Below are 12,629 nucleotides of genomic sequence, written 5' to 3'. Positions count from 1 at the left end.
ATCCTTCCACCAAGACAAACCCTTATTAATGCAATCTGATTTATTAATAATTTGGGCACAGCAGAAAACAAGATTAAAAAATGGTAAAATAGCATAGAAAAAAAGTAACTGATTACAATTGCCCAAACAAGCGTGCTCTGCCCTGCAGGGCCAGGCTGGCCCAGCCCAGCTGGTGAAGACAGCCTCGAGCTCTGTGGCCCGGCGGATCTTGTGTAGATGCCGGGTGTGATGGGGCACAGCAGGGCTGGCGTTATTCCACATCAACCAGCAGGGGAGTCATGTAATCAGAGTGTTTGATGCCGAAGGTGACAACTGGGGCGCAGGGCTTGGTCAGGGTCACCTGGGAGAGGAGGGGCTATGATAGGAACCAGCACCCCTGCCCCCACCTGCAGGTCTCTGCCCTGGCTGGGGCTGGGCTGCTGTCCTTCCTGAACCTGGGGCCAAGGTGGCCAGAAGCTATGCTCCCAGGTTTGAACACAGAGCACTCAGCAGTAGTAGCTGTCACAGTGTCTAGGGAAAAGGGCAGGGTCTCTGCTTCCATGTCCCTGAAGGGTTACCTGTGGGCCTAGTGCTGGAAATGTACAGGGTCCTCAGGGTGCAGGTGCCTCCCATCCCCACCCCACCCCTCCACCCCTTCTTGGCTGTGTCCTTCCATAGCCTGACCCTGTTTCCCCTCGTCTGTGTCCCAGCCCCCCTCCCTGCTCTTTCCTACACATCCCTCTGGGCCAGGACCCTGCCCCACCCTGACCCCTCTGAGCTGTGCTCTTCCTGGACCTTCTCAGGGCTGTGGGCGCCTGGTCCTGGCTTGAGGGTCTTGTCCCCTGGGGGCTCCACACGGGCAGCCATGGTGTACTGCGGAGCCTTGAACTTGGTCACCCGCACATCAGTTTGGCGGTAGGCTGCGGGACCTGGGGTCTGAGAGGTAAAGGAGGCTCAGACCAACTCGGCCTACCCAGGGCGTGTGGCCCTAGAGGACAGGGAGCAAACTCAGGCTCTGAGTCAACAGGGTCAGCTACAAGTTGGTGCCCGTGCATCAAGGTCCCCTTCTGTCTTCTGTCACACTGTGGAGATCACACCCCACTGCTTGTGGGGTACCTCATGTGGGGGTCACTTCCTCCATTTCAGCCTCACGCTGGCAATGGCATCCCCAGTGTGTGCCAGTCCTGGGAACATCGCTGAGCGTGTGTGAGAGAGGCTGTTGCTGCCCTGTTGGACCTGAGGGCCTGGGGCTGGCAAAATCAACATGGACGAGGGCTGTTGGGTGCCATGATGCTGCTTCCCCATCTCAGGCCCCTCAAGCTCTCAGGCATGTGCCACCCAGGGGCTTTGCACTGGCTGTTTCTGAAACCAGGACCCTCCTCCCCCAAATAGCTCATGGTTTATTTTTTCCTCCTCCTCTTCTTTCCATGCTACCCTATCTAAGATTGCCTCTCTCTCTCCAGACAGTGCTTCCTAAACCCCATCTCTTGTCCTCAGCACGGTCCATGCTGGGGCCAGGGCGTCTCCCTTCTGGCCTGTTGCCTGCCCCTCCTCACCACTGCAGTGTAACCCCAGCACGTGGCAGGTGCCCAGAGGGTGAAGGGCTGAGGGGGCTGAGGGGCATTGGCAAGGCAGGGCCGAACTGGTGGGTCCTGGGTTCCGGGGGAGGGTTCAGATGGTTGGGGGTGATTCTCTGTTCTCAGTTGGGGTGGCCCTTGCCTTGTGTAGGTCGTCGCTGAAGCCGCCCAGCTTGCTGCGGCCCTTGATGGAAAAGGAGGGCTGGGAGGCCTTGCCGACGGTATTGGGCCCCATTACCATGGGCAGCATGTACGCAGCGGGGCCTGCAGGGTGGACGTGGAGCCTCAGGCCGGAACAGGGCCCACTGCTCCTTCCCTGGGGCTCTCCCCCAACTCTGGAGATCAGCCGTCGGGCTGCCCCATGTCACACACCCCACCCAGGATCCCCAGGTCCATTTGGCTGAGGATGGTTGGGGCTGCTGCGGACCTGGGGTGCTGTCCACTCGGAATGCCTTTGTCCGGGCAGAGATGGAGTGGCTGGGTGCTGAGTCGAACACGTACTTGGTGGATTTCTCTGGAAAGTAGTCACCTGGACAAGGAGCCAAGGGGGCTGCTGGGACAAGCAGGTGGGTATGCAGCCCAGTTTGGGGGCTCAAGGAGGACTCCCCAACATTCTAGGCGTGGGGCCTCTGGGCTCCAACACAGGTGGTGACCAAGTCGGGTCAGGGGGTGTCCAGGATGGAAATGCTGACTTCAGGGCTGGTGAGACAAAGGCTATTTTTGAGCAGGGAGAGTGGGGTCTGACGTCGGCCTGGCAGAGAAAGGTCCAGGTCGGAGCTGGACTCTTGGGCCAGAGTCTTCTCTGCCCAGGCACGATGGTGACCCCTCAAGAGAGAAAGATGGGACGGGAGGGGCCAGGATGGCTGAGCTCTCCCACACCCTTGCTGACATGAGGTTAGGGGCACCCAGCAGGGAGGGGCAGGCCTGAGGCTGCGCAGGGCAGGAGCCTGAGACAGGGTCACTAACCTGGACCAGGAGTCAGCATGGTCTTGGTTTGGTAGCGCCCCAGGATGGAGTAGGCAGGGCCAAGGTCCTTGCCAGTCCTCAGTATCTTGGGGTTTACATTGTAACGGGGCCCTGGGGAGCAGTTCTCTGCCAGGAGCATGGGGGCCCCACGGAAGCTGTAGGCCGGTGCACGCAGCTTGGTGGGCGTGTGCTTCATGAAGCCTGTGGACGCAATGGGCCCTGAGCAGCCCGGAGCCTGACCTGCCCTTCTCCCCGCTGGGAGTCAGGGATTGAGCCCCAGGCCCTTCCCGGGACCCCCACCTGCCCGCCTGGCTCCTGACCCTCTCCCACAGTCTCTCAGGCTCTTACCTGTTGTTGGTGGAATCAGGTACTTGGGTCCAGGGCTGCTGTAGAGGGCCATGATGGGTCCCCGGGGGCGATGGGGCCTCCAGGTACCCATCCATACCTCCTCCGTCATGGCCAGCTCTGTCCGTAAGTGAGAGGGTTACCAGGTGCTGGGAGGCCCGGCCCTGTCCCATGCCGGCCCCTGATGTCCCCGACCCTGCTCTTGCTGACACTGAAGGGTAAGACCTGCGGAACCTGCTGCAGCATCAGTGGGGATCTCCAGCTGGGAGCCAGGAGTCAGGGACAGTAGGAGCTTTCTGCATGGGTCTGTGAGCTCCTCACCAGCTTAACTGTAACCCAGAGTTGCTGTCCATGCTGGCCCTTAACTCACCACTGTTCTCGGCTCTAAGGGAGCCCTGGGCCGGTTTCTCCTACTTGGAGTGGTCAAAGATGGGGAACTTCTTGATTGAGGCTGAGCTGAGGGGCAGGGAGGGGGCCGCCTGGGAGGGAACTATAACTTCTTCAGTGCAGGGACAGCACTCAGAGCAGCCTAGAGACCCATCCTCATCAGAGACTGTCCTTTCCCCCCTGGCCTTGGTGCCAGGGAGTTCCCGCAAAAGGAGCATGGAGAGAAAGGCCTTCCTCTCTCCTCATGGGCTTACAGAATTGGGGAGAGGTCCCCCACTCTAAACTCTAGAATGTGGCTCTGTGGGATGACAGGTTCTAGATTCTGTCTATGTGACCAAGACAATGGCTTCTGCCTTTGATCCCCTCACCAGATCTCACCACCAGGTCCCCCCAACAGGACACCCCTATAAGTCCCCCTGACCATGTTCCCCTCACCATGTTCCCCTCACCAGGTCCTCCTCACCAGGTCCCCTCACCAAGGCTCCCCACCCATGTCCTCCTCACCAGGTCCCCTCACCAGGTCCCCTCACCAAGGTCCCCCCCATGTCCCCTCACCAGGTCCCCTCACCAAGGTCCCCCCCATGTCCCCTCACCAGGTCCCCTCACCAAGGTCCCCCCCATGTCCCCTCACCAGGTCCCCTCACCAAGGTCCCCCCCATGTCCCCTCACCAGGTCCTCCTCACCAAGGTCCCCCCCATGTCCCCTCACCAGGTCCCCTCACCAAGGTCCCCCCCATGTCCTCCTCACCAGGTCCCCTCACCAAGGTCCCCCTCATGTCCCCTCACCAGGTCCCCTCACCAAGGTCCCCCCCATGTCCCCTCACCAGGTCCTCCTCACCAAGGTCCCCCCCATGTCCCCTCACCAGGTCCCCTCACCAAGGTCCCCCCCTATGTCCCCTCACCAGGTCCCCTCACCAGGTCCCCTCACCAAGGTCCCCCCCATGTCCCCTCACCAGGTCCCCTCACCAAGGTCCCCCCCATGTCCTCCTCACCAGGTCCCCTCACCAAGGTCCCCCCCATGTCCCCTCACCAGGTCCGCTCACCAAGGTCCCCCTATGTCCCCTCACCAGGTCCCCTCACCAAGGTCCCCCCCATGTCCCCTCACCAGGTCCTCCTCACCAGGTTTCCCTAAGTTCCCTCACCAGACCACCCCTCACCAGGCCCCCTCACCATGTTTCTTTCACCAGGTCCCCTCAACCAGGCACCCACCCATGAAGTCCCCCTCACTGGGTCCCCTCACCAGGTCCCCTGTAACCAAGTCCTCCAGGGCCCCCTCCCTAGGGCTCCCTCAGCCAAATGGAAATCCAGGCAGATACCATGTAGGCAGGTGGGACAGAGCACAGAGCCGACAGCACCGCATGGCCCCCTTGCCAGGCTCAGACAGGACAGAGGTGTGGAGAGGAGGGCCGGGGCAGTGAAGTGTCAGGGCTCAGCACCCAGGGTGGCCAAGGATGGGGCGGTTCCACTCAGCTGTGCCCCCAGAAGAGACCATAGATTGGGCAGCTGAAATGCTGGAAGGTTCTGGCTGTGGGAGAGTCTGGGATCCAGGGTCAGGATCAGGGTCTGTGCTGGTTGTGGTGGGTGTGAGTCAGTGTGGGCGCTGGGGCTGCCCTGGCTGACCTCAGAGGCTGCTCACCTGCGGCTCCCAACCCCCTTGGACATGGGTGTACCTTTTTCTTGGCCTTGTCAGGGGTCCTCTTGGGGCTCGACACCAGCTTTCAGATGCTGAGCACCCCCGCCCTGACCTAGCCCATGGGCGACATGGGGTCTGTGTCCACCCAGTCCTGGACACTTCCTCTTTCTGGGGCTCCCACCTCATACCGCTGCCTCTGCCGCCCGTCTCCCTCCGGACGCCCCCTCCAGACGCCCCCTCCGGACGACCACGCAGTGTTGTCTGGCTCTGTGCTCTGTCCACCTGCCTACGTGGCGTCTGCCTGGATTTCCATTTTGGGTCTTGCCTGTGGTGTGCCTGCTCCTGTGTGGACCCTGTGTGTACCTCTGTGGGGACTTTCACACGTGTGTTCCTTGAGTGGGATCCTCTGTATGTGGGTCTGTGTGTGTGGCTGTGGCCCTGTGTTCCTGATGTCCCCATTTGTGTGTACCTCTGTGGGGACTTTCACACGTGTGTTCCTTGAGTGGGATCCTCTGTATGTGGGTCTGTGTGTGTGGCTGTGGCCCTGTGTTCCTGATGTCCCCATTTGTGTGTCCCTCTGTGGGGGACTTTCGCACGTGTGCTCCTTGAGTAGGATCCTCTGTATGTGGGTCTGTGTGTGTGGCTGTGGCCCTGTGTTCCTGATGTCCCCATTTGTGTGTCCCTCTGTGGGGACTTTCGCACGTGTGCTCCTTGAGTGGGATCCTCTGTATGTGGGTCTGTGTGTGTGGCTGTGGCCCCGAGTGTGTTCCTGATGTCCCCATTTGTGTGCCCCTCTGTGGGGGCAGAGACAGGAGCCTGAGCTGCGGAAGAGGCTTTATTGATTAAACGGTTTGAGGATACATTTCCATGTGGGAGGTGGTAGTGGGCGTTGTGTCCACGGCTGCTTGTGTGGCAGGTCCTATGGCTGAGCCATGTCTGAGGTCCACTTAGGCACCGTCCTGACTGCCCAGCACTTGCACCTGGAAGGCAGACACATGTGGACTAAGAGGGCTGTGCTCAATAAGTGGAGAGCCACAGCTCCATCAGGCAAGCAAGGCCCTCAGTGGGGGGGGGTCTGGCATATTGCTGCCTATCTCCTCCCAGCAGCTGGGAGGTGTGTGTGCACATGTGATGGTGTGCACACATGTATGTGTGTGCATATCCCAGTGTGAGCATGTGGGTGTGAACGTGTTTATACATGTGTGCACGCAGTGTACATTTCATGTCTGCACCTGTGTTTGGATCTCTGTGTATGTTCACATGTGTGCATGGAGGAGTATCCCACAGACTGGGGAGGAGGTCTATGGAGTCTGGGGGCTGCTCGGTGGACAGGAGGTCTGGGGTGTCCACCTGAGCTGGCTGATGCGGGTGCAATGTCTGTGGGTGGTGGATGTCTGTGGGTGGGGTAGGCTGTGTGGGTGCTGTGTTGGGTGGTCTTGGTAAGGCTGCAGATCTTTAGAAAATGGGGTGCCCGCCGCCCTCATACCAGCAGCTTGACCAGCTCCGCCTTGTGCATTGGCTGCAGGCCATCTATACAGGACTTGAGTTCAGTCATTGCTGCCTTGGCATCTTCGTTGACATTGTACTTGCCCAAGGTCCCCTCATAGAGCTCCTCTGGGGTCCCCACCAGTAGTGTTTGCAGGAAGTCCATGAAAAACTCATCGTTGTCCTCCCCTGTGGCCATCCCTGCATCACGAGCGAGATGATGCCAGGACAGGACAGGGTGACTCTGGTGCAACCACAGCCCTGGACCTGCCCCAGGGCTCCAACCTCCATGGTCTCCAGACCTTCCCCTTCAATGCCCACCTCTCCTCCCCAGGGCTTCCTCCACAACACCTCCAACTCCACCTTGCCCGAAGACCCCTCCACATCCCCCTTAATCTTAGCTGCTCCAATTTCCACTCAGCATTCCCTGGGATCACCAGGGAAGGAAAGTTAAGCTCCTGGTGTGGGGGAAATTTCCCCTGATGAGAGGCTATTATGACCAGAGGCTTGAAGGGTCAGGTCAGGCTGGACTGGGCTGGGGTAGGAGACACTGGGCTGGTGTTGGGTCAGCTGGGCTTTGTCCTTGGTTGGGGTGGAGTAGGGTGGGCGCGGGTTCTGCAGGGTCCTTGCCCACTTCTGTGACAGAAGCAGGTGGAGTGTTCACTGCAGAGGCCCGATGCCAGGATTTTACCTTCTCAGGTACCCCCCACTCCCCCCCACCCCTGAATGTTCTGGAAACCCCAGTGGCACAGACTCACGGCAGATGCAGAACAGGGTGAGGGCCACCAGCAGGAGGGCACGGCTCCCCTTCATGCCAGCAGTCTCAGGAGCTGCCTCCAGCCAGAATCCCGGGATTTTATGCCTCACCGGACAGCACCTCTCCTAGAGGGCGGACCGGACCTGCCCATTAGGACCCGGCAGCCAGCTTAGATGAGGTTTGTTCACATCCCTGGCCCCCAGTGGGTGCCAAGCAGCAACAGGCATGGAGTGGCTGTGTGACAGGTGGTTGGCAAGCGGCTTTAGGGTGTGTGAGAGAGAGAACAGGTGTGTTAGGAGGGAACACTGGTGAGAGGCCATGCCAACTGATCGGTGAAGAAGGCAGTGGGTCCTGGCCACCAAGGGCCTCTAGTCATGCCTGCCCTTGAGGCCGAGAGTGGTGGGATCTGGGGTTGGTCCCACGCCTTTCTTTTAAGGTGCGAATCCCTCCTCTTATCAGTGTGCTGTGTGATCTGGGTCTGCATCTGGGGGTCTCCAATCAGGCAGGGGCCCCTTACTACTCAGATGGGGTGGCCGAGTAGGGGAAGGGGGTGCAGGCTGCACGAGTGGACACAGCTGTAGGACTACCTGGGGGCTGTGGATCTATGGGGTGGGGAGAAGCCCAGTGACAGTGCCTAGAAGAGAGAAGGTGGCCTGAGAGGGTCTGAGGAACATAGAGCTGGCCATGTTGGGGCCAGGTCTCAGCAGGAAGTGAGGAATGGGACAGGCTTGAGGTACATCTTCCATCAGTAGCCAGGATAGCAAGGAGGGCTTGGGGTTGCTATCCTGGGGTTCAACCCCCCAGGTTGAAGGCCCTGGGGGAGATGGTCCCAGGACATATTACAATGGACACAGGAGGTTGGGACACCTGGAGTCACCAAACAAAACCATGCCAAGAGAGACCATGAGTAGGGGTGTCCCAGTCCAGCCCTCTGACTGAGCTGCATTGTTCAAATCCAAAGGGCCCCTGCTGCCACCTAGTGGCTGATGGCATCCACATGGCCCTGGGCCACACGCGTTTAGGGTCTCTGTGAAGACCAAGATCCTTGTTACATTGAACGACTCCTAAATGAGCAGAGATTTCCACCTATTCGAAACAATCACATAAAATCCCATCCTGGAAAAAGCCTGGGGGATGGCACTAAGGCTAGGGATAGGGTGGGATGAAGATTATAGTTACAGTAAGGGGTTTAGGGTTAGGGATCAACGTTGGTTAGGAGTCAGGGATACAGTAGGGTCACCGGTAAGGGTTAGGGGTTAGGGGTAGGGGTTAGGGTTAGGGTTAGGGTTAGGGGTTAGGGGTTAGGGTTAGGGTTAGGGTTAGGGTTAGGGGTTAGGGGTTAGGGTTAGGGTTAGGTTTTGGGGTGGCGTATTTTGGTCTTATACGCTGTGTTCCACTGGCAATGAAAAGAGTTCTTGTTTTTCCTTCAGCAATTTGTCATTTTTAAAAGAGTTTAGCAATTCTAACAGATATAGACCAGCTGTGCTATCTCATTGTGGTTTTCAATTGTAACCACATTGTGGTTTCAATGTGTTTACTTGCCATCTGTAGATCTTCTTTGGTGAGGTGTCTGTTCAGATGTGTGTGCATTTTTAGTTGGGCTGTTTAACTTATTGTTTAGTTTTAATAATTTTTTATATATTTTGAAGACAAATTCTTTCTCAGATGTGTATTTTGCAAATATTTTCTTCAATATGTGGCTTGTCTTTTTGTTCTCTTAACAAGGTCTCTTCCAGAGTATAAACTTTAAATATTAAGAAATCCACACTGTCACTTCTTTTGTGTATATCTACCTTTTGTGTCATTTGTTAAAATTCATTACCAAACCCAAAGGCAGATAGCTTTTCTTCTATTGTTTCTTCTAGAAATTGTATAGTTTTGCATTTTTAGTGTAAGGATGATTTTGAGTGATTATTTGTGTAAGTTGTAAAGTTTTCGTCTATATCCATATCATTTCTTATGGTTTCCAATTAATCGTTCCCTCACTATTTTTGGGAAAGACACAGGATAGTGGGCTTTGTTAGAGTAGATAGGTAGCTAGACATGAACAGGAGGGGGCCTCCTGGAAAAGGGAAAGTCTGGGAAGGCTCACCTGGAGGGACCACCAAAAATTCACATATTAGTAGCATCTCTAGTGCTGGAGTGGATGGGCACTTGTCAATTGTGGGTAGGAGGGAAAAGAGGTACCTATGCAGAAAGAAACACCCTAGAACTCCTCTGAAGATGCCCCAATCATTCACTCTGCAATAAAAATGTCAGAATATTGCTAGCTACATGCTGATAAGGCCAAAGGGGACATTCTTAAGAGAAACCTGGCACCATAAGTACAGATTAGGGCAGAGAAGGACATTCAAAAGAGGCAGGCGCAGTAGGTACAAACGTGATCGCTGTCAGTGTGCCTGGGATGGCGGGAAGGAGGCTGGTGCCAGAGTGGATTCGTATTGATCACCACACATGTACCTCAACCAACAGTGAGGAGGTCCCACAAGCCTAAGTGGGGCAAGTTGGGGAGCTAAGGCAGTAGCAGGAAAACCAGACAAAGAAAACAGGTGGAGACTTGAGACAGAGGCAGGAATGTGAAGAAATCCAAAATAAAATTCCCTGCACAGGACTCTTAGGCTGTTTTAATGCACGCTCAGCCCACTCCTCCCTATTTTTCTACAATAAACTCTTTACACTGTGTTTCTTTTCAATGAAGTTATCTGCCATCTTTGTATTGCCTCTTGGTGAAAATGTTTCTTCCAAGTTAAACAAGAACTGGGACATCAGCTCTCCCCAATAATAGCTCCGTTTCAGTTTGAATTTACAGAACTGATGGGGCTTAATAACTGGCGCTCTGACTTTAGTGGTGCAGGAGGCCGTCACACCGGGACCAAGAGTGCCCTGCCTAGTCCCCATCTGCCCGCAGGTGGCGTGCTGCCACGACACCGACAGCAATAGGGTCCGGCAGTGTCCCCAGCTGCCAGCAGGGGGCGTACGACGACTACACTGTGAGCAAGAGGGCCCTGCAGTGTCCTCAGCTGCCAGCAGGCGGCGTACGGGCACCACACCATGAGCAAGAGGACCATGCAGTGCCCTGGTTGCCAGCAGGGGTCGTGCTGCCACTACACTGTGAGCAAGAGGATCCTGTCGTGCCCCCAGCGGCCAGAAGAGGGCGTGCCCCGACTACACTGCAAGCAAGAGGGCCTGGCAGTGTCCCCATCTGCCAGCAGGCGGGCGTGCTGCCACTACACTGTGAGCAAGAGGGCCCTGCAACGTCCCTAGCTGCCTGCAGGCGGCGTGCCGCCACTATATTGCGAGCAAGAGAGCCCTGCAGTGCCCCGGCGCCAGCAGGGGGCGCTGGCCACCACTGTAAGCAAGAGGGCCCTGCAGTTGCCCTAGTCGCTAGCAGGGGGCGCACTGGGACAGCACCGCGGGCAAGCGGGTCCTGTAGTGCCCGGCTGCAAGCAGGGGGCGCCCGAGCCCGGCTTTTTGGATTACTGAGGTTCAACCCGTCTCTGCGCCGCGCCCCCGAGGACGTGCGTCTCTGCGCCTACAACGCTCCACCCCCGCGCTCTCGTCCCGGTGGCGCGTGACTCTGCGTCTGCACCACCCACCTCCCCCCAAACCCACAGCCTAACGACGTGCGTCTCTGCGCCTGCGCCGCGCCTCCCCCCGCCCCCCAGGGGACGCGCCACTGTGCGCCGGCGCCCGCGCGCCGCGCCTCTGTGCGCCTGCGCCGGCGCGCCGCGTCTCTGTCAATTTAGAAAGCTTATTTTGCCAAGATTAAGGACACGACCATGACACAGCCTCAGGAGGTCCTGACGACGTGTGTCCAAGGTGGCCAGGGTAGAGCTTGCTTTTGTACATTTTAGGGATACATGAGACGTGTAAGATGTACAGTCATTTGGCCCAGTAAGGCGGGACAACTGGAAGCAGGAAGTGGGGGTGCTTCCAGGTCAGAAGTAGGTTAGAGACAAAAGGTTGCATTCTTTTGAATCCTTCATCAGCCTTCCACTGAATACACAATTTAGTCTGGCTCAATGAATCTGCATTTTTACATAAATAATAGGGCAGAGGAAGCAATCAGATATGCATCTGTCTCAGGTGAGGGATGACTTTGAGTGCTGTCTGTCCTTTGTCCAAAAGGAAATTCTTTGTGGGCAAATTGTGAGTGAGGTATGTAGCTTTTTATCTTTGTAGCTATCTTAGTTAGGAATAGAATGAGGGCAGGTTTGCCTGACATAGCTCCCAGCTTGACTTTTCCCTTGGCTTAGTGATTTGGGGGTCCTGAGATTTATTTTCCTTTCATGGTATCAGAACAGAGAAAAGGTAATGCGTTGAGCCATGAGCTTATGACAAGATGGCTAGGAAGGAATTTTTCAGCTCCATTTTTATGTCATGGGACCACCATCATATGTATGCAATGCACGAGTGTAAAATCACATTTAGTTAAGTCAGCTTACACTAAGCTATGGACCCAGATGGTCCTGGGGCCTTTTTCCACTGGGAGATCTTTAAGGACCTTTCTTAGCTTTTCTATGCTAATTGGTATATTCATAGTTGCCTTATTTCAGGGCCCATTTTGTTAATGTGTATTTTTACTAGGAAATCACCCATTTTTTCTAGGTTTCCAGTTTGATGCAATTATTTGACTTTTAATTTCTCCTCTGTTTTTAGTTTTGTACATAATTTTCCTATCTACTTTTGCACTCTTTTTTCCATCAACAATATTTTTAAAATATACTTTTTAGCTTTTTTTGAAGAATTGTTATGTTTGACAATTTTTTATGACCTAATCATGACCGTAAATGATTTTTAATTAATTTCAGCTTAATGTCTTTTGTAGGGCACAACTGTTAAAATACAGAATTACAACAAATGTGGGTTTGCAGATCTTAATTGGCTTTTTTTTGTGGTTCTAGAATCAGGCAGCAGTCCAGACCAAAAATGGTTCAGAATGATCTGCCACACAACATGTGCGGGTTATATTTATAGCCAGAGGAAAAAAGTGACATACAGAAAACAGAAGTGAGGTATAGAGGTGGCTGGATTGGTTACAGACCTGGTTACAGCCCGGATTTGCCTTCTTGGAACTTGTTTTGAACAGCTGGCTGCCGGCCATTGACTGACACTCGGCTGATGTGATTGGCTGAACCGCCGCTATTTGTTACCATGATACATTCCCAAGTCAGATTTTCAGTTTGTTTCTATACTAAATTAGGTTGCGATTCTTCTTGTTCTTCTTCTTTTTTCTTTTTTGAGGCGGAGTCTCGCTCTGTCGCCCAGGCTGGAGTGCAGTGGCGCGATCTCAGCTCACAGCAAGCTCCGCCTCCCAGGTTCACGCCATTCTCCTGTCCCGGCCTCCCGAGTAGCTGGGACTGCAGGCTGCCGCCACCAAGCCCGGCTAATTTTTTTGTATTTTTTTTTTTTAGTAGAGACTGGGTTTCACCTTGTAAGCCATGATGGTCTCGATTTCCTGACCTCATGAGCCACCCGTCTCGGCCTCCCAAAGTGCTGGG

At 55.3% G+C, this 12,629-nt stretch overlaps 2 protein-coding genes across 4 annotated transcripts; both read right to left on the bottom strand.

The window, feature by feature from the left end:
* Positions 1–25: 25 nt before the first annotated feature.
* Positions 26–3,523, bottom strand: CIMAP1A (ciliary microtubule associated protein 1A). 2 transcript variants are annotated; one of them, NM_053280.5, is made up of 7 exons: positions 3,238–3,523; positions 2,871–2,987; positions 2,523–2,723; positions 1,984–2,085; positions 1,699–1,820; positions 775–915; positions 26–340 (listed from the first exon to the last, which is right to left on the bottom strand). In NM_053280.5, exons 2-7 carry the CDS (start codon positions 2,977–2,979, stop codon positions 251–253), a joined length of 765 nt encoding a protein of 254 aa, NP_444510.2. In that variant the 5' UTR covers positions 2,980–2,987; positions 3,238–3,523; the 3' UTR covers positions 26–250. The 2 variants fall into 2 exon arrangements, with proteins under 2 accessions (NP_444510.2, NP_001273065.1); NM_001286136.2 differs by lacking the exon at positions 775–915.
* Positions 3,524–5,708: 2,185 nt separating this feature from the next.
* Positions 5,709–12,234, bottom strand: SCGB1C1 (secretoglobin family 1C member 1). Of its 2 annotated transcripts, XM_005252804.4 has the most exons (4): positions 12,173–12,234; positions 7,130–7,253; positions 6,373–6,572; positions 5,709–5,866 (listed from the first exon to the last, which is right to left on the bottom strand). In XM_005252804.4, exons 1-4 carry the CDS (start codon positions 12,230–12,232, stop codon positions 5,834–5,836), a joined length of 417 nt encoding a protein of 138 aa, XP_005252861.2. In that variant the 5' UTR covers positions 12,233–12,234; the 3' UTR covers positions 5,709–5,833. The 2 variants fall into 2 exon arrangements, with proteins under 2 accessions (XP_005252861.2, NP_663626.2); NM_145651.3 differs by lacking the exon at positions 12,173–12,234 and having other exon boundaries at positions 7,130–7,206.
* Positions 12,235–12,629: the final 395 nt, after the last annotated feature.

Source organism: Homo sapiens, chromosome 11 (assembly GCF_000001405.40).
Source record: "Homo sapiens chromosome 11, GRCh38.p14 Primary Assembly".
NCBI lineage: Eukaryota > Metazoa > Chordata > Mammalia > Primates > Hominidae > Homo > Homo sapiens.
Note: the sequence above shows the minus strand (reverse complement) of the source record. Positions and strands in the feature narration are given on the sequence as shown.

Excerpts from the sequence above, each read along its gene's own strand:
- CIMAP1A (NM_053280.5), bottom strand. The coding sequence starts at position 2,979 with ATGACGGAGGAGGTATGGATGGGTACCTGGAGGCCCCATCGCCCCCGG. Across the intron at positions 2,086-2,522 it reads CATGCTGACTCCTGGTCCAG|GTGACTACTTTCCAGAGAAA; the intron begins GTTAGTGACCCT and ends CTCCTTGTCCAG. Across the intron at positions 341-774 it reads GCGCCCACAGCCCTGAGAAG|GTGACCCTGACCAAGCCCTG; the intron begins GTCCAGGAAGAG and ends CTCCTCTCCCAG.
- SCGB1C1 (XM_005252804.4), bottom strand. The coding sequence starts at position 12,232 with ATGGCCGGCAGCCAGCTGTTCAAAACAAGTTCCAAGAAGGCAAATCCG. Across the intron at positions 6,573-7,129 it reads CACCCTGTTCTGCATCTGCC|GGATGGCCACAGGGGAGGAC; the intron begins GTGAGTCTGTGC and ends CTCGTGATGCAG. Across the intron at positions 5,867-6,372 it reads CGGAGCTGGTCAAGCTGCTG|GTGCAAGTGCTGGGCAGTCA; the intron begins GTATGAGGGCGG and ends TCTGCCTTCCAG.